General features: G+C 38.8%; 1 pseudogene; it reads right to left on the bottom strand.

The window, feature by feature from the left end:
• Positions 1 to 210: 210 nt before the first annotated feature.
• Positions 211 to 24,890, bottom strand: part of PPIAP33 (peptidylprolyl isomerase A pseudogene 33) — a 57,933-nt pseudogene continuing 33,253 nt past the window's right edge.

Below are 24,890 nucleotides of genomic sequence, written 5' to 3'. Positions count from 1 at the left end.
TATTGTTGGATTTCATTTGCTAATGTTTTGTTGAAGATTTTTATGTCAACGTTCATCAGGGATATTGGCCTGCAGTAGTTTTCTTTCTCATATCTTTTTCTGACTTTGGCATCAGGGTGGTGCTGCTCTTATAGAATGAGTTTGAAAATGTTCCCTCCTTTTCAATATTTTGGAAGAGTTTAAGAAGAATTGGTGGTAGTTCTTTTTTTGTTGTTATTTAGTTTTTATTTCATAATCATAAACTTAACTCTGCAATCCAGCTAGGCATGGAAGGGAACAAGGAAAACATGGAACCCAAAGGGAACTGCAGCGAGAGCACAAACATTCTAGGATATTGAGAGCAAATGGGGTGGAGGGGTGCTCTCCTGAGCTACAGAAGGAATGGTCTGTTGGTTAAGATAAAACACAAGTCAAACTTACTAGAGTTGTCTGCAGTCAGCAATGCTGATCTTCTTGCTGGTCTTGCCACTCCTGGACCAAAGCGCTCCATGGCCTCCACAATATTCATGCCTACTTTCACCTTGCTGAAGACCACATGCTTGCCATCCAACCACTCAGTCTTGGCAGTGCAGATGAAAAAACTGGGAACCGTTTGTGTTGGGTTCAGCATTTGCCATGGGCAAGATGCCAGGACCTGTATGCTTTAGGATGAAGTTCTCATCATCAAATTTCTCCCCATAGATTGACTTGCTGCCAGTGCCATTATGATGTGTGAAGTCACCACCCTGACACATAAAACCTGGAATAATTTTGTGAAAGCAGGAACCCTTATAAGCAAATCCTTTCTCTCCAGTGCTCAGAGCATGAAAGTTTCCTGCTGTCTTTGGAAACTTGTCTGCAAACAGCTCCAAGGAGACGCGGTCCAAGGGCCCGCCATCCACGGCGATGTCGAAGAACACGGCGGGGTTGACGATGGCTGATACTACAGGGCACCCGATAGCAGAGGCGTCTGCAAAGCTGGTGGTAGTTCTTTAAAAGTCTAATAGGATTCTCCAGTGATGTCATTCAGTCATGGGCATTTACTTTGTTTTTCTGGATTCTTGATGTGTGTTTTTTTGGTTTTAAATTTCAACTTTTATTTTAGACACAGGGGTACATTGGCAGGTTTGTTACATAGAAATTTTGCATGATGCTGAGATTAGGGGTCTGATTCCCATCACCCAGACAGTGAGCATAGTACCTAATAGGTGTGGTTTTTTTTTTTTTTAACACACGACCCCTTCTCCCTCCTCCCTGTAGTAGCCTGCTTTCTCTATTATTCCTATATCATGTTTATGTGTGCTCAATGATTAGCTCAATTGTAAGTGAAAACATGTGGTATTTGTGGTATTTGGTTTTCTGTTTCTGTGTTACTTTGCTTAGAATTATAGCCTCCAGCTGCATCCATGTTTGTGCAAAGGACATGATTTCATTCTTCTTCTTCTTTTTTTTTTTTTTTTTTTTTTTTTGAGATGGAGTCTTGCTCTGTCACCCAGGCTGGAGTGCAGTGATGTGATCTCAGCTCACTGCAACCTCTGCCTCCTGGGTTCAGGCGATTCTCCTGCCTCAGCCTCCTGAGTAGCTGGGATTACAGGCGCGCACCACTACGCCAGGCTAATTTTTGTATTTTTAGTAGAACCGGAGTTTTACCATGTTGCAGGCTGGTCTCGGACTCCTGACCTCGTAATCCACCCACCTTGGACTCCCAAGGTGCTAGGATTACAGACATGAGCCACTGCGCCCAGCTAATTTTTGTATTTTTAGTAGAGACGGGGTTTCACCATGTTGGCCAGGCTGGCCTTGAACTCCTGACCTCGTAATCTGCCCGCCTTGGCCTCCCAAAGTGCTGGAACTACAGGTGTGAGCCAGCATGCCCCACGTGATTTCGTTCTTTTTTATGACTGTGTAGTATTCCATGGTGTATATGTACCACATTTTCTTTATTTAATCTACCATTGATGGGCACCTTGGTAGATTCCACATATTTGCTACTGTGGATAGCACAGCAATGAACATAAGAGCATTTGTGTGTCCTTTGGCAGAATAATTTATTTTGCTTTGAGTATATACCCAGTAATGGGATTACTGGGATGAATGGTAGCTCTGTTTTAAGTTCTTTGAGAAATCTTAAGACTGCTTTCCACAGTGATTTAACTAATTTACATTCCTACCAACAGTGTGTAAGTGTTCCCTTTTCTCCACAGCCTTTCCAGCATCTGTTGTTTTTCTTGACTTTTTAATAAAAGCCATTTTGACTGGTGTGAGATGGTATCTCCTTGTGGTTTTGATTTTTGCATCTCTGTGATGATTAGTGATGCTGAGCACTTTTTCATGTTTGTTGGCTGCCACTTGTATGTCTTCTTTTGAGAAGTGTTCATGTCCTTTGCCATTTTTGATGGGGTTGTTTTATTCTTGTTGATTTAAGTTCCTTATAGATGCTGTATATTAGGCCTTTGTCAGATCTATAGTTTGTGAATATCTTCTCCCATTTTGTGGTTATCTGCTTACTCTGTTGATACTTTCTTTTGCTGAGCAGAAATTCTTCAGTATAATTAGGTCCCACTTGTCTATTTTTGTTGCAATTGCTTTTGGGGACTTAGCCAAAAATTATTTCTCAAGGCTGATGTGGAGAACAACAATTCCTTGGTTGTCCTCTAGGATTTTTATAGTTTGAGGTCTTACATTTAAATCCTGATCTATTTTGAGTTAATCTTTTAATATAGTGAAAGGTAGGGATCCAGCTTCAATCTTCTTCATATGGCTAGCCAGTTATCCCAGCAACATTTATTGAATAGGAAGTGCTTTCCCCATTGCTTGCTTTTGTCAGCCTTGTAAAAGATCAGATGATTGTAGGTGTGTGGCTTTATTTCTGAGTTTTCTATTCTGTTCCAATGGTCCATGTGTCTATTTTTGTACAAGTACCATGCTGTTTTGATTACTGTAGCCTTATCGTATGGCTTGAAGTTGGGTAGTATGATTCCACCAGCTTTGCTCTTTTGGCTTAGGATTGCTTTGGCCATTTGGTCTCTTTTTTTCTGTTTTATATGAATTTTAGAATCGTTTTTTCTAATTCCGTGAAGACATTGGGAGTTTGATAGGTATAGCACTGAATCTGTAAATTGCTTTGGGCAGTATGGCCATTTTTACAATCTTGATTCTTCCAATCCATCAGTATGTAATGTTTTTCCATTTATCTGTGTCATCTCTGAAATTTTTCAACAGTAATGTTGTGTAGTTCTCCTTGTAAAGATCTGCTCGGTTAGTTGTACTCCTAGGTATTTCATTTTCCTTGTGGCTGTTGTAAGTGGGATTGTGTTCTTGATTTCACTCTCAGCCTGAATCTTGTTTGTGTATAGAAATGCTATTAATTTTTATACATTGATTTTGTATCCTGAAACTTTACTAAAGTCATTTATTAGTTTTAGAAGCCTTTTGGCAGAGTGATAAGGATTTCCTAAGTATAGAATCATTTCATCCTTGAAGAGAGATAGTTTGACTTCTTCTTTATCTATTTAGATGCCTTTTATTTATTTAACTTGCCTTATGGCTGTGGCTAGGACTTCCAGTACTCTGTTGAACGTAAAAGGTGTCAAAATTATTCCAAGCACATTTTTGGACCACAGTGCAATACAAATAGAAATCAATACCGAGATCTCTCAAAATTACACAACTGCAAGGAAATTAAACAACTTATCCCTGAATAACTCTTGGGTTAACATCAAAGTTAAGGAATAAATTTTAAAATTCTGAAAATAGGGACACAACTTGCCAAAATCTCTGAGATGCAGCTAGTGTTAAGAGGAAAGTTTATGGTGCTAAATTCCTTCATCAAGAAATAAGATCTCAAATTAACAGTTTAACTTCATACCTATAGAAACTAGAAAAATGAAGAACAAATCAACCCAAAGCTTCCAGAAGAAAATAAATAACTAGAATTAGAGAAGAACTGAATGAAATTGAGATGCAAAAATCCATACAAAAGATCAATGAAACCAAGAGTTGGTTCTTTGAAAGAATAAGCAAAATTGATAGACTTCTGGCTACATTAACAAAGAAAAAAAAAGAGAAGAACCAAATAAGCACAATCAGAAATGACAAAAGCGGTATTCCAACTGATCTCACAGAAATACAAAAGATCCTTAGAGACTACTATGAACAACTCTTTGCACACAATTAGAAAATCTAGAAGAAATGTATAAATTCCTAGAAGCACACAATCTCCCAAGATTGAATCAGAAAGAGATTGAAATCCTGAATAGGCCAATATCAACTTCTGAAACAGAATCAGTAATAAAGAACCTAGCAACCAAGAAAAGCCCTGGACCAGGTGGATTCAGAGCTGAATTCTACTAGACATTAGTACAAGAAGAGCTTGTGCTAATCCTATTGAAATTACTCCAAAAAACTAAGGAGGAGATACTCCTCCCCAACTCATTCTATGAGATCAGCATCATCCTGATACCAAAACATGGCAGAGACAAAAACATGAAAAAAAAACTTCAGGCCAATATCCTTGATGAACACTGATGCAAAAATTCTCAGCAATTTACTTGCAAACCGAATCCAGCAGCACCTTGAATTTATCATCCCACTCTGTTCTGACCTGTAATGATTCTGCTGAGAGATCCAATGATAATCTTATAGAGTCTTTCTTGTACATGATGAGCAAATATTTTCTTGCTGCTCTCAATATTCTCTTATTGTTTATAACTTTTGACAGTTTATGATATGTCTCAGTATGGGCCTTTGGGGATTTATCCTAATTGAATTCCTTTGATCCTCTTGAATTTGGATGTTCATTTACTTCTTTTGATTTAAGAAGTTTTCTTCCATTATTTCTTCAAACAAGGTCTCTACTTCATTCTCTTCTTCTTCAGTTCCCAATGTGTGTGTTAGTCTGCTTAATTATCTCCTTTAGGTTTCTTCACTTTTCTTCATTTAGTCCTTTAGAATTTCTTCATTGTTATTTTCTCTTTTTATTTCTGACTAATTTCAAATGGCCCATTTTCAAGTTTGCTAATTCTTTCTTCTGCTTGATCAAACCTGCTGTTGATCCCTTCTAGTGAATTTCTAAATTCAGTTATAATATTTTTTAGCTTCATAATTTCTATTTGGGTTCTTTTTTATAGTTTCTCTTTGTTTATATCTATTTTGTTCATGCATCATTTTCCTGATTTTGTTTAGTTGTCTCTCTGTGCTGTCTTGCAGCATACCGAGCTTCTTTAAGATAAATATTTCAAATTCTTTGTTAGGTAATTTATAAATCTTTATGTCATTATTGTCAGCTTCTGGCAGTTTATATTGACTCTCATTGACTCTTATTGAGTCATGTTTCTCAGTTTGTGCGCCTTGTTATTTTTTGTTAATTTTTGCATTTGACAAGAACAGCCAACTCTCCCAGTCTATTTGTTCATTCTCATGCTCCAACTAAAGATATACTCAAGACTAGGTAATTTATAAAGGAAAGAGGCTTAACTGACTCACAGTTCAGCATGGCTGGGGAGGCCTCAGGAAATTTAAAATCATGTTGGAAGGGGAAGCAACCACATCCTTCTTCACATGGTGGCAGCAAAGAGAAATGCAGAGTGAAGGTGGAAAAAAGCCCCTTATAAAATTATCAGGTTTCATGAGAACTCAACTCACTGTCATGAGAACAGAACGGAGGTAACTGCCCCCGTGATCCAATTACCTCCCACCAGATCCCTCCCATGACAGGCGGGGATTATGCGAACTACAATTCAAGATGAGATTCGGGAGGGTGCGCAGCCAAACCATGTCACCCTGTATTTATAGAATGGCTTTATACAGGCAAAGGCCTTCATCAATCAGCAAACTGGAAATTCAGAGGGCCTCCAAAAACTTTAATGAGGATAAATTTTCTTGATGCTTGTGCATGTAATTTCCTAATTAAAGAGGTTTACTGTGTTTCATTTTTTGTTTTTCGGGAGCCTGCAGTCTTTTGTTCTCTCTAGTGTCTGTCTGAAGTACTGCAGGTTCTCTGGATCTGCAAGAAGCCACTGAGTTCTCTTTTTTTGTTTGCAATCCCAGGCATCCAGGACAGGCTTATTCCATTAGTGCTCCAGATGAGACAGAAAGCACTTCCTCAGGCAGCCTCCCCCAAAGCCAGAATATAGCACTCATGTTCCACTCTTCTCTTTCCCTCCTAAGAAGAACCCGCAGCTGAGTGCTTTCTCTGGATTATGGTGAGTGGTGCCAGCTTCTGAGATATTATAAGTTCTCTGGCACTGTCACAAGCCACTGAGCACTCTTGTTCTCAGCGGCCCCCACATCCAAACTATGCCCATTTCCCACGGCAGAGTTCTGAGTCAGGCAAGACAGAAATCAGTCCTTTGGGCAGCCCACCAAAGAGCCAGAACATGATATGTACATTCCACTCTTTTCTTAACTTCCTCAAACATAAGTTAAGAGTTGGGCTTTTCCTTCAGAACACAAGCTATGTCAGCTTTGAGGAGGGACTGATGTGGTTGAAATTAAACAGCTTTTCTTACCCATTTTAATGCAGCCATTCTTGGCTTGGAGCTTTCCTTGTGTACTGAGACTTTCTAACTGGCTTCTGGGGTTCTCATAAAGGTTTTGGACTTTATATATTTGTTGTCAGTGTTTTTGTGAGGAACACAGTCTGAGGCTTCCTATTCTGTCATCTTGCTGCCATCACTCTCCTATGTGGCATCTTTTGATCCTTGATTGATAATGGAGTAGGCAGAGGATGATGATGATGATGATGATGATTTCATAGGTGAGAAAACTGAGAGTCCCAGAAACTAATGACTTGTCCAAAGTTACTCAGCAAAGAAGTGATTGTTTTGCTCACAAATGCATCCCAAGGACCTGAAGTGCCAGGTATCAAATAAATATTATAGGGGTGTGTGTGTGTGTGTGTGTGTGTGTGTGTGTGTGTATACAGACAAACAAAATCAAACCCAGAATATTTGCATTTAAAATCTGTACTCCTATCCCCCTGAGTCCTTAGAAAAATGATAGTTCCTGCATAAACAATATTCAAGCTCTAATCTTTCCATACACAAGCCATTTGTTAACTGTTTTCATTCACAATTCGGTCTTAATTTGCTTACTTAGCAATAACGGTGAATAATATATTCAGGGTCTCTGACTTTACTATCCAGCAGAGTGTCACTTGGGACTATGTTACAGATTTTAATTTTTTAAATTGGTTGGCTTTAATATTCCTTAGCTTGCCCTAGGCTAGTAGGTTCTCCACCAGGCAATTTTGCCAAGAAGGGGATTTGGGCAATGTCTAGAAACATTTTTGGTTGTCACAACTGGAGGTGCTATTACCATCTAGTTAGTAGAGGATAGAGATGCTGCTGTGCATCCTGCAATGCATAGAACAGTCTGCGCAACAAAGGATTATCCAGCCTGAAATTTCATTTACACAGAGGTTGAGAAACCCTGCCCTAGACAAACTAAAAATGATGCAGAAGAGGTTCACCTTCTTTATCTATCTTTCAGCATCACCTTTATCTCTCCACCATAACTCTTATGTAGGCACAGATACACATGGTTCCAGGACCTTCATGCTCAGCTCTCCTCTGAGATGCCTTTATCTAACCACAACTGATTATCTGGATCTTTGTGACCCATTCCAATTATTTTTTCCTTTTTGATCCTACTCTCAGAGAGCTTTGTAAAATGATTGACTAACACCATATACTAAGAACCTGTAACTTGGTTTCCAGTTTACAATGAGTCATAATGGCCAAATACCCATTGAATAAATAGGAGTAGAAAATATTAAACTAACGTGTTTTCTATCATTCCTCCTCTATCTCAGGGTATAACATTTTATTTTCACTGGCCAAATGAAAGCCACATCCCGGCCTTATCATCTAAAATAAATGCATCCCATAGGACCTTCCAGGGTAGCAGGTGCATGGGTGGGTATAATTCAGACAGAAGATAAGGAAAGAAGTTTAATCTCCACAAATTGCCAAGAATGTTTCCCTTATAATTAGGAAAGTGCATTCTGAAACTCTGCATAATTTAAAATACACTTTATGGGCTAATGGAAAAGGACTGAGAACAGACATAAATCTTGCCTATAAATAATCAATGCTATCAAAATGCCATGGCAAAAACATTCCTCTGATAGAAACAAAGACAGATAGTTTTTAGGATTTTATCTAGAGAATGTCAGGCATATAAGAATGCCTTCTTATTTATTTGTTTATCAGTTTGGATGTTTCTCTCCAACTACTTCCATAAAAGACTCCATCCAGATTCAAAGTGAAATTCTACCTTTATACTAAATAATATAGAGAGTAAAACTAAATCAAAGAGATAAAGGAAAAAAGAAATAGCTGGTACTGGGCAATTAAAAGGGCTATACTCCTCCCAAAACCCTTATCAAGTGATAATCACAATTATTTATTTATATGATCATCTCAACAGACTTGCTACTCCTTGAAAACACCTTTTATCTTTTTCATCTTTGTATTTCTTTTGCCCAGCACAGTGGCCAGCATATAGTAGGGACTCAATAAATGTTTGTTGCATCCATGAATAAGTACACGAGCTTATTAATTTTAATTGAGACCTAATCTCCAACTTTACTGGAAGCCTGAGATTGAAAACAGAAAGACAAAAACACACAAGAAATGATGTGTTGTGATGAAAGAAAAAATGACTTGGTAAATATATGGTATAGCTTATATTAAATCTGAGGGAAAATCAATCTATAATAAGCCATTATTTCATTACTTGAATGAGTTAATGAATGAATGAACAAATACAGTAAAAAGGGAGTGAGTCTACAGCCACTGAAGTCCTTCTAAGCAATCCAAAATTTAGTGCCTACAATGAAATGCTGAGATTGATTCTGGGATTGTAAAGCTGAGGAAAAACTCCATCACTTACAATAATTTCAGGGATGGTTCTCAATCTTTAGCTGCACATTTAAATTACCTGAAGACATTTTTAGATACTTTGTCCAGCTATTCTTTTCCCCAGAGCCATTAAATCAGAACCTCTGGGGGTTGGGACCCATCCAAGCATGAGTAGCTTTTAAAACTTCCCAAGTGGTTCCAATTGCAGTCAAGGTTGAGAACCACTGGCTTCTAGTGGAGTGGAGAAAAGTCATCAAACAAAGTTCACTGAACAAATGTCTGTAGGTTACCTAGAGTAAAGGAATGAATGGGAATTAACTTCAATTCAGCATCTACTGCATACTAAGCAAGGTGTTATTGTTTAAATTTGTTGTCTCATTTTATTCTCATGACATCACTGTGAGGTAAAGATTGTTATCCACAGTTGAAAGAAGAGGAAATTAAGTCATGGATGACAGAAACACAGTCCCTACTATGAAGGAGTTTTTAAAAACATGAAAGGAAAAACATAGAAAAACATATAAATGTATATATATTATACACACACACACACACACACACACACACGTATATGAAAAAAAGAAAAAACTTGAACTCAGGAGATCTGGGTTCATCTCTAAACACCATACTGTCACTAACTATATCATTTGGGCCACTCATTTAACCTGCTGGAATTACCAGAATGAGAACAATAGGGTTAAATATAAAATTTTATAATTTCAGCAAAGGTACAGCTGACACAAAAGTAATTATAGCACGGTAATTAAAATTAAAGAGACATGACATGTGTCACAGAGGGAGGGCTAGCCAACAGTCTGGCCTTTAAGGGTATTAGAATCTGACTGATGCTGCTATAGTTTGCAGGAAGCCCTTGACTTTGCAGATCCAAAAATCTACTGGACGTTGATTTGTTTCTAAGGGACTGACACGTGATAACCCAATTTCAAATCATTAACGTGTAAACCATGCTTTCAAAGCATTTCTGTACAAAGAAAGAATTGTTTCTGTTAACTTTGTTTAAGCCCAAGATAGCTTGGGTGTATAAATTAGGTCTAGGGGAAGAAATGGTGATAAGGAATTTTCTTCCTGGTCCCCATGATATTAGCATTTACTTCTTTTCCCCTTCAGGTGCAGTGCAGATTATCAAGAAGTGAGCAGGTAAACACTACATTTTTTTCTCTTTGAGGTTTTTTTTACTATATTTCACCAATACTATACACTTATATTAATATTGTCTTTCTATAATACAATTACTATTTCAGCTTCTCATTAGTCAGCTTCAGCTATTTCACTCTAAAGCATTAGTTTACACTTCATTGTGTTACACCTCCAGTGATATAACAGAACTGAGAACATGAGGAAATGGTCCTTGTCCAGGCTCTGCCTCCGATTGCCATGCTGCCTTGGACAAATAATTTAATCTTTCTGAGCAGGGGGTACACTTTTTTGCAAAAGAAAGAGAAAAATGTTACTACATGCCTTTTTCATATATTTATTTTCATGAAAAATCATACAGTAATTTACCCATCATACAGTGGAGATTGAGTACTTTATTAATACACTTTTCCTTATTCTTTCACCTGATTCTCTTGATTGGCCTTGATTTTCTCACACACTATCTCCACCACTGATTTACAGCAACAAATCACTAATCTCACTGCTAAACTTAAGCTCTCCTTTATTGCACTTCTAGGGGTTAATTTTCTCTTGACATTCTGAAGGCATTTTGCTGTTTGCCTTAGGTTCTAATGATACTTCTATGTAGAGCTTTATACTTTACCATTATTTTTAAGGCCTCTTATGAACTTGATAATGTCTCCAGGAAAGGGACAGAATATGTTGTTTTTCCCACTTAACGGAAGACAGAGGAGTGACACAACAGGTAGGCAATGGACTCACACTCATTTCTTGATTCTAAGTATTCTCTCCACTGAGTATGCTCTGAGTTCTTTGACTCTGTCCTAGTTTACCAATCATTTTGAATCACTGGGCAGTTATTTCATTCCTGAGGTTTTACTTTTCTCCTTTTAAAAGAAAGCTAAGATGGCCTTAGGTCTTTCAGGGCAGTGCATAAAGAATAGGGCAGAGAAATTGAGAAAGTCTAAAATAACATATAGAATATCAACTGAAATTAATTACAGAGATTTTAAATTAGTCCCATAGAAGAAAAGTTTAAGTGGCTAGGTGTCTTTTAATTTAGAAAAATAAAAAAGAAGCCCAAGCAGCAACCTCATTAACTTACTTTCTCTGCATCAAAGATTAGGACAAGGGACATTGATCTGTTGTTCTCAGAACTAAATATTCCAGGATAGAGATGCAACCATAGAAATTTAAGCCAGACCTTCCTGACTTAGAGAATGATTAAACATGGCAACAAACTCAAAAGGGAAGCTTCTTATGTAGTCACTATTCCTGATGATGTTAAAAGCAACATTCTCATGGATGAGAGAAAAGGTGACATGAGTGATTCACAGGCATAAAATACCATCACTTTGGGGACATATCGGCATTTTGGAGTAGCAGAAGTGGGAGATGATAGTTTTTCAAGCATATTTATAAAATTTATAAATTTATAAAATTTATAAAATTCAAAGGGCTTTATTATTTTCATAAGGTAAGCTAAAAAAGTCAAGTGTAAGAAAGTCTTATACTCAAGCCAGGAAGGTTCTTAAAGGAATCAGAGTAAGAGTTATGGGAATATTTTATGTTTATAAAATGAGGGCAGGAGTGAACAGGTGTTGGGAACAGGCCCCGAAATCTACTGGCCCCAACACTGGCCATAAACAAAATCTCTGCAGTACTGTGACATATTCATGATGGCTATGTCGCCCACGCTGGAACGTTATGGGTTTACCGGAATGAGGGCAAGTAACACCTGGCCCATCCAGGGCGGAAAACCGCTTAAAGTCATTGCTAAACCACAAACAATAGCATGAGCCATCTGTGCCTTAAGGACATGTTCCTGCTGCAAATAACTAGCCAGACCCATCCCTTTGTTTCCCGTTTTAGTTAATCTGTAATCTATAGATACAATGCTTATCACTGGCTTGCTGTCAACAAATATGTGGGTAAATCTCTGTTTGGGGCTCTCAGCTCTGAAGGCTGTGAGTCCCCTGATTTCCCACCCTACACTCTATATTTCTCCATATGTGTGTCTTTAATTCCTCTAGTGCCACTGGGGAATTAATTCCTCTCCACAACTGAGCTGGTCTAGGCCAAAAGGTTGTTTAAAAAAAAAAAAAAAAAACTCTGATACACAGTTACATCATGTTGCAATGACTGAGCTACTATCAGCTTGGAGGCAGAAGACCAGACAAGAGGTCCAGAGTTCCATGTCAGGGGTCCTGCTACAAGCTTGAACAAACACCTGTCTTCTATCGTTCAGTTATCCAACATTTAATGAATGCTGAACATATGCCAGACCCAGAGTCAGGTATTTTTTAAAAAAGTAAGATCTCGGCGGGCCACGGTGTCTCACACCTGTAATCCCAGCACTTTGGGAGGCCAAGGTGGGCAGATCACGAGGTCAGGAAATTGAGACCATGGTGAAACCCTGTCTCTACTAAAAATACAAAAAATTAGCTGGGGGCGGTGGCGGGTGCCTGTAGTCCCAGCTACTCGGGAGGCTGAGGCAGGAGAATGGCATGAAGGTAGAGTTTGCAGTGAGCCAAGATCATGCCACTGGACACCAGCCTGGGCGATAGAACGAGACTCCGTCTCAAAAAAAAAAAAAAAAAAAAAAAAAAGATCTCTGACCTAAAAGAAAGAAGCAGCAGCAGCAACTTAGAATCTAATGTTAAAGGCAGACAATGTATTTATTATATGTAACAATAAGGGATGGAGAATACTAAGTGCAATAGGCTCCAGAGACCCAAGAAACAAGGAAAAGCGAAGCTTAACTTTTCTTGAGTATAGCAATAAAGAACGTAGGTTTGAAAGGAAGTAAAAGTAATCCCAAGAAAAACCCCAATACCAAAACTTAATTCCTTCCCTCCTGTGATATAGTATCACCAACCTCAAACAAATTTATAACGAGATATACAAAAATCCACACACTACGTATTAAATAGAGCTATTATGTATTTCCCAAACGTGGAATCATGGAAACAGTTCCTTAAATCCAGGCTCTGCATATAGAAAGTAAATTTTGGCCACTAGAAATTGCTCTGGATATGCATTTTAAAAATTTCAAAATGACCCTGTTTCTTCCTCTGCAAAAAAAAAAAAAAAAACAACAGATGCATGGAAACCTTCAAATTTCAAATTTATTTCCTATTGGAGTTATTCACATGCAAAAATAATCTTAAATGGTGTTTATGGCATAGGCTTTTTTCTTCTTCTTCATTGGCCCAAGTTCCAGAAACAGCTGAATAGATGTTTCTGTCAACATTCAACAACCAAATAACTCACCTTTGGGGTGAAATCAACTACGAAAATTTAAAACCCTAAGGATAATTTTTCAGCAAGTGAAACAAGTTAGGGAGACAATGACTTCAAAAATCTCAGGTATAAGATCTCTCTTGGTAAAGAAACTACTGATCAAGCCAGATTAAGTCACTGTTTACTCCGTATGCACAGTGTATATGTGATAAGAAGACATGGTTCCTGCCCTCAAGTGGCTTGCTTCCTAATAATTAATTCAAGCAACAATATCAACTAATGAAACAAATTCAGTTATGTCTTACTTTTTTATTATATATGCTTTTGAAAACTGGATGCAAATGAATGGCTTTTATTTCTAGTCATTTCTAAGTGGAAAGCAGAGTCAAGATATTATCTGTGTGTTGTGCCTAAATTGAGGATGTTTAAGGTACTATCTGTATGTTACAATTTGAAGGATAATCAAGATACCTCCTGTTTTTTGTACATAAGGTGAAGGATGTTGTGATGGTTAATTTTATGTGTCTTCTTGACTGGGCCACAGGATGCCCAGATATTTGATCAAACATTATTCTGGGTGTTTCTGGAAGGGTGTTTTGGATGACAGTATCATTTTAATTGGTAGAACAAAGCAGTTTTCCTTCTATAATGTGAGTAGGCCCAATCCAATTAGTTGAAGACCTCAACAGAGCAAAAAGACTGACCTTCCACTGAGTAAGAGAATTCTCCAACAGACAGCCTTTGGATTTCATCTGCAATATTGGCTCTTCCTCCCTGATGGCTTTTGAGCTGGAACACTGGCTCTCCCTGGGTCCCCAGCCTGCCAAACCACCATGCAAATTGGACTTGCTACCCTCTAAAGTTACATGAGCTAACTCGGTATTTTATATATATTATGTACTATATATATATATATCCTATTGGTTCTGTTTTACTCTCTTCTTTCTCCTGATGCCCCACCCCCACCCCACCATGCTTACTCATGGGCCAATTAGATCTTGTCCTCCTGCACTACCTAACATGGAATCCTCACAATTAGTCAATCTTTGGGGTCAAACAACAAGGTCAAGGTAGGTCTAATACAGTCTCAAGCACAATACACATATGGAAAAAGAACTCAACAAGCAATGAAAAGAACTGGGTTCTAGTGCCTGCTCTGCTATAATTCAGAATGGAATAACCTTGGGAAATCTATAAACCAACTACTATGGGTTTAAGTTTTCATCTTAAAATAAGAGTATTTGAATAAATGATATATAATTTCTCTTCTGATTTTTAATTTCTATGTCAATGAGTACAGGTGTGGATTGCTGACTCACCAACTGGTGGACTATTTACTTGAGCCATTTCTCACTGGCTTGATTAGCAGATAGCAACCTTGTTCCCATTTCCCTGTCTTGACCAAAGTGAGCCCTGGTTAGAATGTAATTTCAGAGATGCTATGTCTTCATTTATGGTTTATTTCAATTGACTGAGTCACCTTAAGCTTTAAGTTCTGTCACCTTAGCTTTCAGTTAATGGTAATAAACCACTTAAAAGGTTGGCTCTTTTCCAGACTCAATGTATTTAGAATGCAAGCAACTTTGCAACCACCCCCATCTCCAACAATCCCTCTTCATACTTTACCATTTTTTCATTTTACATTCTATGGAGAAAAGAGAAAAATGCTCCCCTTGACTATTAAGGATATTTTAGAATGAGACATTGTACTGGTACTTAGGATTTGCTATGAAAGAGCTTTCTAGGATAGGGGAGATTTGAATTGTAATTTAAAGGAAACAAATTCGATGACTTAATGGGAAAAAAAGTACTCTATGCATTTGATGAAAATAAAAGGTCCATGGGCAAGAAATGAACAGAATCAAGTTATGAAAAAAATAAATGAATAAATAAATTAAATAAGTGAAAACAAAGTAAAGAAGAAAGGTAGAACAAGATTGGCAAATAAATGGGATATCAGCACCCCTTCCCCTGCTGTTTACCCCTCACCAGTGGCAGATATTGCCAATTGCTTGGGATGGTTTTCCTGTTGAGCCCAAATACTTCCTCTCAATCCAGAACCCAAAGCACCCACTAGCAGTCTACTGCAGATGGCACAGTCAGGGAAACCTATATGTCATCCTAGATATAATGGAAAGTGGCACAAATACTAATCAAATATCTATCACTCACTAGGTAGGCAGTGAGATAGATGCTGTGGAGGATTAAAAAAAAAAAAAAAAGGAAACTCCTTGCCCTGTCTCCAAAATGCTCGTAATTTAAAAAGCAAGAACTGATAAGGAATTACTGCTTATAACAGGCAGAACGGGAAAGGTGCTTCATAAGAACAAAAAAGTAAGTAATACAGGTTCGGCTGGGTGCAGTGGCTCACGCCTGTAATCCCAGCACTTTGGGAGGCCGAAACGGGCGGATCATGAGGTCAGGAGATCGAGACCATCCTGGCTAACATGGTGAAACCCCATCTCTACTAAAAATACAAAAAATTAGCCAGGTGTGGTGGCAGGCGCCTGTAGTCCCAGCTACTTGGGAGGCTGAAGCAGGAGAATGGAGTGAACTCAGGAGGCGGAGCTTACAGTGAGTCGAGACCGCACCCCTGCACTCCAGCCTGGGCAACAGAGCAAGACTCTGTCCACCCCCTCCCAAAAAAAAGTAATACAGGTTCAAGGAGCCACAGATATTGAAGCCATCCTGACAGGCTGACAAGAATTGCATACTGGGTTCTGGACAGAAATAAAGTTATAATTAAGCATTAATCAAGCTGCACTTTAGCCCACTTCCTTGTTGCTAAAGGTCAGATAGCACTACATACTGACCATTTGCATCCCCATTGTTCCTGTAGATAGAATTTCTGACATGAGGGTCATGAGACAGGATCTCTGGTATTCGAATCATTAAGACGTTTAAGGATCACATGTTTTCAGACCCTGAATTTCAGCAACCAGTTTGAAGACCCCCACAAAGAAATGGGATTAGCATAAGTATACAGCTTTTTCATCTCCCTGTCCCATGACTTCACCCTGCACTCTTCAAATGATCAACAACCCACACTTTGCCCCACTTCAAAACCCTTAATAACCCTAGCACCAAACCACTTGAGGAAATGGATTTACAGTTTCATCCCACCTGCTCATTCAGTGACCCTATGACTAAAATGCTTTTTCTGCTGAAACCCAGTGTCTTAACTTATTGGCGTGCTATATGCGCCTTGGGAAATGATCCTATTACAGTTACAATATCATTTGTTTGTGAGAAACTAGACAGGCTTCTGCAAGGAACCAGCATCTGTGATAGACTTCGGATACCAGAGAGAACTTCAAAGATTAAGATGGCTGGAGAAAACATGAGAAAGGCATGACTGGCCTGGAAGGAGAAGGTACTGATGAGCTCTGTCAGGAGCTTCCAAATGACCCAGCAAGATGCAGAGAGATATGGTGTGAGTGCTACAGAGAAGGATCCATGAAGCTATCTAGGGGCCCATCATGAGTCACCTCATTAGCATAAATTCAGGTATGGTTGAAAAAGGTGTATTATAAATAACAAAGATGCTCTTCTTATCCCTACCACTAAGGAAATTACAAGAGTTTTAGGAGCTCTATGTCACAATCCAGGGGCAGAGATGAAATATATATTTCTTACTATGTCACAAACTGTTACAACAAAATACCATGCACTGGGTGGATTAAACAAAAGATGTTTATTTCTCACAGTACTGGAGGCTGGAAAGACCAAGATCAGGGTGTTGAACACTCACCAATGTCTGCTGAGGGTCCTCTTCCTGGCTTGCAGATAATGGCCTTCCCACTGTTTACTTATATAATGGCGAGAGGAAGCTCTGGTGTCTCTTTCAGTTGTTATAAGGGCACTAATCTTATTGTGGGGGCTCTACCCTCATGACCTCACATAAACCTTATTTCATCCCAAAAACCCAGCCTCCTAATACCATCACACTGGGGGTTAGGGCTTCAGCATATAGGTTTCGGAGGAGCACATTCAGTTCACAATATGTAGGAAGACAGTCCATGTGGAAATGTCCTCCCCTTGTAGGAAGAGAGGAAAGGTGAGGCAGACAAAAGCAGCCTGTGTATCCAGGCATATGCCACCAGCCAGACCCCAAACTATGTCAGGCACCAAGAGACCCAAGGAAAAATACACACTGTCTTTAATAGTAGTGGATTGTTAGTATACAACAAAAGTACCTGGCAGGGAAAGAGCAAGATACATGGGTTAATGAAGCTTTGCAGAGTTCTGAGATGCCCATGGGTGTGTAACCCTTCTCCTCCTGCTGTTGAGTCCAAAGCTCATACCATCTGCCACAGCACAGCCACTAAGTTGAAAGACAATGTGACTGGGCAAGGAAAGTGACTTTATTTGGGAGAGCCAGCAACTGAGAAGATGGTGGACTAGTGTCCTAAAGAACTATATTAAGCTAATATGAATTTGGGGCTGCTTTTAGGTTAGGGGAAGGGGAAAGAGGAAAGGAGATGAGGTTAAAAAGTTACTTGATGACCACAGACATCTGGGAGGCAGCAAGGATAAACTGTCTTTGGTCAGGTAAAATCCTCTTATACATTTTTAATGTAACCTTGTTAATTTTGTCTATACCCTCCTTATCTTCCTGGTGGTTAGTTTTGGCGATGGATTATTATTATCCTTGCTTTAAGGTTAAACTATAAACTAAATTCCTCCCATAGTTAGCTTGGCCTATGTGCAGAGATAAGCAAAAGTGGCTAACCTAAAAGATGTCATCGTGGAGGAGTGCTTAGGAGCATAATGGAGATTGATGTGATCGGCCTCCTTTTCACTGCTGCATTCCCACCCCCATCACTAAGTGAGTATCACTGCAAGTCTGGAGCCCAGCTCCTGCTTTTTTCTCAGGTGGTGTGATTCTGCTGCCTTCCTATCTCCCCATGGACTGGAAGATACAACTGTCTTTCTAATCCCAAAAGATCGCTTCCCTCGGAGAGAAAAATTCCTCCAATGCCAGGACCAGATTTTACCAGTACCTGTAACCCCACACTAAGATTACTGCCTGGAAAACAACAAATCCTCAATATGTTTCCTGGGAGTGATTCAGCTAGAAGAATCACCTTAACTATAAAGTCATTTCCTTGATTATTCAATCATGTATTTATTAAATACTTATTATAAGCCAGCCTCTTTTCTAGGAACTGAAAATACACAAAGATGAATGAGGAATGATCCACAAAGCTCACAGTCTCATGGGTCTAAGTTATATAGAGAAGCTTATATAAAGTTAAATGAGTTGCTGTTATGGCTGGCTTCATATAAAAATCCAAGCAGAAACTTTCTAATTCATCGGTTCATCCAGCTAGGCATTCATTAACAATTCAGCCAGTAGGTATTGACTGCCACCTGACTGGGAGCTCACACAGATGAAGAAAATATGTTGCTTTTACTGGAGAAGTTCACCATCATAATCACAGGGAAGTACAGTGTACAATATGGTAGGTACTAATAAATGTTTTCATAAATATCAGTGGGCATCGAGAGTAGGAACCAGGCTATAACAGGAGTCAACAAGAGACTTGGAGAGACATAAACACAGATTTCTAAACAAAACATAATTTTCAAAAGAAGCACTTAGCCTTTTCTTTTTCAAGGTATAGAATTCTTAACTTTAGGAATTAAAAAGAAAAAAAAGTGGTGCTACTTCTGGTTGAAGCATATGGGAGTTTTGGGGGAATGACAAGCCAGAATCTCCCACTTGGCATCCCCTGGGTCCCTGTGTATTTCCAAGATCCCTGTGCTCAATGTGGGGCTTCACGATGTGAAAATCACTACTGTCCAGGAACTAACATTAGAGGAGATGCTTCCTGGGTTCTTTCCCAAGTCCTATAGCTAACTTGCTAGGTAAAAACCCAAACATTGCTTGACCAACCTATGCTTTAGTGTACTCAACAGGAAGAGGAGGAGGCAGATACACCCATGCTGGCTTAACTCCCAGCAATCCTGGGAGGATAAATTAGGCACCACCTGCTAAGTTCCTTGAGCATCCAAGAAAAAAAGAAGGGAGTGGTGGGGGTGGGGAGCTACTTAAGACCTTATGAATAGGGAGGCTTTGGCAATTCCCCAGTAGAGGCATGCTGAGTGAAACACGCTGTCCCAATTACCAGAGGCAATGGTTCTCCTCTGGAATACAGGTTTACATTCTGAGATGTTATTTAAACATTTTGGTTCAAGGCAGAGCATTTTCAGATAAGAAGGATGATTTCAGAGTCAAGAATATAGTGATTTATTTGAAGGCAGAAAGAAAGAGTTGGAAAAAATGCCTTTTAAAAGATCAATTTATCCCCAGGGATGTACACTCAGTCCTTTCCCAAGCTGAGGAAGGCAATTTAATTGTTCATAACTTTATTGACTTGACGAGGCAAACCAGCTTTGCCAAAGACAATACTTTCGTGGGCCAGAGGAGATTAGCATCACTAGGAGTGAGCTCTGCCTTTTTACCCCAGACCTTTCTTTTCGCTTGGGTGACATCCTGCCCCATGTAATAAGGCTCTCCTGCTTCTCTCTGCTTGGCACATATTCCATCCAGCAATATCATCTTCCCTCCTGACTTGGGACTTATGGTATTATTTTGGCAGTGTGACATTTAAAATCACTAAAAATAAAAATTAATAACTAAAATTATACAACTGTCTCTGGGCACAGTTTATTGGTTCACACCAAGATGTATTTTCTTGGAAACTTTAATTTTAACTTTTAATTCTCTGAAAGGGATCTTCGGAAAAATTTGGAAGTCTACAGAATTATCAAAAGATGTATCTTATCAAAAGATGTATCTCTTCAAACAAAGATCACTGAATATACTGATAGTTCTTGACCCTCCATCTCCATTCTCTCAGCTCCATTTTCCTAGCTCAGGGGTCCATATGGCACTAATCAGGCACTCCACTTGCTTTGTAAATAAAGCTTTATTGCAACACAGCTATTCTTATTTGTCTATATGTTGGCTGTGGCTGCTTTCAACACTACAATGGCAGAGATGAGTAGTTGCAACAGAGACCACCAACAGAGACTGCCCGGTCCTCAAAACCTAAAATATTTACTATCTGGCAATTTGCTAAATCCTTTATCTGAATACCTCCTGAGGTCTCAATGTAGATGCCTTGTAGCCATCGTAAACTCCACGTGTTCTCAATTTAAGTCACTACCTTTCTTTCAGATATGTGCTGTCCTAGAGTTCACTATATAAGATGTCATTACCATCAGCCCAGTTGTGCACATCAAAATATTGGTTCATTCTTGCTCCCTTTCCTTTCCCTCACCTTCAATAAAATCAACCACTAAGTCTTGACCAAGCCAGTCTCCAACGTGAAGCCTTCAGGTCACTTTCCTACCAGCCTGCCTGGTTGCTGTCAGTCACTTGAAAACCTTGGGCAGGCTCTCTCTCACTCCTGAGATTTCTAGAGCTCCATTTCCTGGCTTAGACCAATCTACTCTCTGTAGAACACTCTGAATCATGCTTCAGGGTCCAGAAACAGAGGCGCTCCTTTGAGAATGCCTTGTCTCACATCTGGACTATATCTTTGACCCTCCTATTTGTGACTGTATTTTCCTCTGCTACAGCACTTATCATTACTTACTGTTAACACTTGTTAATTGCCTGTCTTCTCAGCAACATGTAAATCCCTTGAAGGCAGGTACCTTATCTATCTGGTTTATCATCAGAGTTCTTGGAAAGTAAAAAGTGCTGAGTACTTATTTGTTAAATGGGTGAATGGATTCATCTTTCCTCAGGAAAGAGATGCTTGAAAGAGGCAAGGGAACACAAAGAAACAGTCACAAAGAAAACTCAGATCTCACTTCCCTCCCATCACTTTGCCTACAGAGAGTAGAACTGTACAAAGTGAGGCTGTTGTGAACATGTGTATATTCTGGCAAGGAAGCATGTTTTCCTGGTTGTGAGAAAGAGAATACTGGAGAGGTAAGCATGGAAAAGTGATGGCATTGCATTGGCCAGGGACTTGAGCAATATTACCAATGATTGATGGTGCTATTATTACATTATACTTTACAGATTTCAGACTAGATCCCAATCTACAAGCCAAAAGAGGCCTTTACAATATAAGGCCAGTTAGTCTCTTCTTCCAGTTAGTCTCTTGCTCAAGTAACTCAAATTAAAAGCAAAGCTGTATCTCTACAGAGACACAAAAACCCTTCAAAAAAAATCAATGAATCCTGGAGCTGTTTTTTTTTGAAAAGATTAACAAAATAGACATCTAGCTAGACTAATAAAAAAAGAGAGAAGAATCAAATAGACACAATAAAAAATGATAAAGGGGATATCACCACTAATCCCATGGAAATGCAAACTACCATCAGAGAATACTATAAACACCTCTACGTAAATAACCTAGAAAATCTAGAAGAAATGGATGAATTCCTGGACACATACACCCTCCCAAGACTAAACCAGGAAGAAGTCATATCCCTGAATAGACCAATAACAGGTTCTGAAATTGAGGCAGTAATTAATAGCCCACCAACCAAAAAAAGTCCAGGACCAGACGGATTCACAGCTGAATTCTACCAAAGGTACAAAGAGGAGCTGGTACCATTCCTTCTGAAACTATTCCAAACAGAAAAAGAGGAACTCCTCCCTAACTTATTTATGAGTCCAGCATTATCCTGATACCAAAACCTGGCAGAGATACAACGCGAAAAAAGAAAATTTCCGGCCAATATCCCTGATGAACATCAGTGTGAAAATCCTCAGTAGAATACTGGCAAACTAAATCCAGCAGCACATCAAAAAGCTTATCCACCATGACCAAGTCGGCTTCTTCCCTGGGATGCAAGTCTGGTTCAACATATGCAAATCAATAAACATAATCCATCACATAAACAGAACCAAAGACAAAAACCACATGATTGTCTCAATAGATGCAGAAAAGGCCTTTGATAAAATTCAACATCCCTTCATGCTAAAAACTCTCAATAAACCAGGTATTGATGGAACACATCTCAAAAAGAATAACAGCTATTTATGACCAACCCACAGCCAATATCATACTGAATGGACAAAAGCTGGAAGCATTCCTTTTGTAAACTGGCACAAGACAAGGATGCCCTCTCTCACCACTCCTACTCAACATAGTATTGGAAGTTCTGGCCAGGGCAATCAGGCAAGAGAAAGAAATAAAGGGTATTCAGATAAGAGGAGAGGAAGTCAAATTGTCTCTGTTTGCAAATGACATGATTGTATATTTAGAAAACCCCATCACCTCAGCCCCAAAACTCCTTAAGCTGACAAGCAACTTCAGCAAAGTCTCAGGATACAGAATCATTGTGCAAAAATCACAAGCATTCCTATACACCAATAATAGACAAGCAGAGAGCCCAATCATGAGTGAACTCTCATTCACAAGTACTACAAAGATAATAAAATACCTAGGAATACAACTTACAAGTGACATAAAGGATCTCTTCAAGGAGAACTATAAACCACTGCTCAAGAAAATAAGAGAGGACACAAGCAAATGGAAAAACACTCCATGCTCATGGATAGGAAGAATCAATATTGTAAAAATGGCCATACTGCCCAAAGTAATTTATAGATTCAGTGCTATTCTCATCAAGCTACCATTGACTTTCTTCACAGCACTAGAAAAAACTACTTTAAATTTCATACAGAACCAAAAAAGCCTGTATAGCCAAGACAATCCTAAGCAAAAAGAACAAAACTGGAGGCATCACGCTGCCTGACTTCGAACTATGCTACTTTATTTATACTACTTTGATTTTCGTAACCAAAAGAGCATGGTACTGGCACCAAAACAGAGATACAGACCAATGGAACAGAACAGAGACCTCAGAAATAACACCACACATCTGCAACCATCTGATCTTTGACAAACCTGACAAAAACAAGCAATGGGGAAAGGATTCCCTATTTAATAAATGGTGCTGGAAAAACTGGCTAGCCATATGCAGAAAGCTGAAACTGGATCCCTTCCTTACACCTTATACAAAAATTAACTCAATATTGATTAAAGCCTTAAATGTAAAACCCTAAACCATAAAAACCCTAGAAGAAAACCTAGCCAATACCATTCAGACATAGGCATGGGCAAAGAGTTCAAGACTAAAACACAAAAAGCAATTGCAACAAAAGCCAAAATTGACAAATGGCATCTAATTAAACTAAAGAGCTTCTGCACAGCAAAAGAAACTTATCATCAGAGTGAACAGGCAACCTAGAGATTGGGAGAAAATTTTTGTAATCTATCCATCTGACAAAGGTCTAACATCCAGAATCTACAAAAAACCTAATTTTATAAGAAAAAAACAAACCCCATCAAAAACTGAGCAAAGGATATGAACAGACACCTCTCAAAAGAAGATATTTATATAGACAACAAACATATGAAAAAAAGCTCATCACTGGTCATTAGAGAAATGCAAATCAAAGCCACAATGAGATAACATTTCATGCCAGTTAGAATGTTGATCATTAAAGAGTCAAGAAACAACAAATGTTGGTGAGGCTGTGGAGAAATAGGAAAGCTTTTACACTGTTGGTGGGAGTGTAAATTAGTTCAACCATGGTGGAAGACAGTGTGGAGATTTCTCAAGGATCTAGAACCAGAATTACCATTTGACCCAGCAATCCCATTACTGGGTATACACCCAAAGGAATATAAATCATTCTACTATAAAGACATATGCACACATATGTTTATTGCAGCACTATTTACAATAGCAAAGACTTGGAACCAACCCAAATGCCCATCAATATAGACTGGATTAAAAAAAATGTGGCACGTATACACCATGGAATACTATGCAGCCATAAAAAAAGAAAAGAATGAGTTCATGTCCTTTGCAGAAACATGGTTGAATCTGGAAACCACTATGTTCAGCAAACTAACACAGAAACAGAAAACCAAACACCACATGTTCTCACTCATAAGAGGGAGTTGAACAATGAGAACACATGGACACGGGGAGGGGAACATCACATATCGGGGCCTGTCAGGGATGGGGGCCAAGGGGAGGGAGAGCATTAGGACAAATACCTAATGCATGTGGGACTTAAAACCTAGATGATGGGTTGATAGGTACAGAAAACCACCATGGCACATGTATACATATGTAACAAACCTGCACATTCTGCACCTGTATCTCAGAACTTAAAGTAAAATAATAAAAAAAGAAGAAAAAAGCAAAGCTATATCTCAAATTGAACTTATAGGACAGGAATGGGGTGTTAGGGGCAAGGTGTAGGCCTTGGAAGTGCATCTGCTAGTTCCACTTACAGTCTCCATGATGCTTCTGAGTGTTCATGGCTTCTTATAGGATATACTGCCAGAGGTATGCATGGAAATTAAAGCAGTTTCCCAAGGCATATGAAGAGGAGTATTTCTGAACTTTTCAAGTAAATACCCTAAGTGTACTTTGGTTTGCATTTACAGCTAGTCTTTTGGTTTGAGACAGACTGAATGAAGAGGAAAAACTAAGAAAAAATTAAACTGAACAAGATAGTGATGGCTCAAATATAATGCAAATTATCATTTGAAATAATGCAGAGGTATGTACAAACATGTTGTTTAAAGTTATGGAGATTACTTCTAGAACTAAAAATACCAACAGTTCCATGTAGCTGCCTTGTTTCACAGAGAAGCTGCAGAAGCCAGTGGTAGA

Source organism: Homo sapiens, chromosome 9 (assembly GCF_000001405.40).
Source record: "Homo sapiens chromosome 9, GRCh38.p14 Primary Assembly".
Taxonomy (NCBI): Eukaryota; Metazoa; Chordata; class Mammalia; order Primates; family Hominidae; genus Homo; species Homo sapiens.
This window is presented reverse-complemented; position numbering and strand designations above follow the sequence as displayed.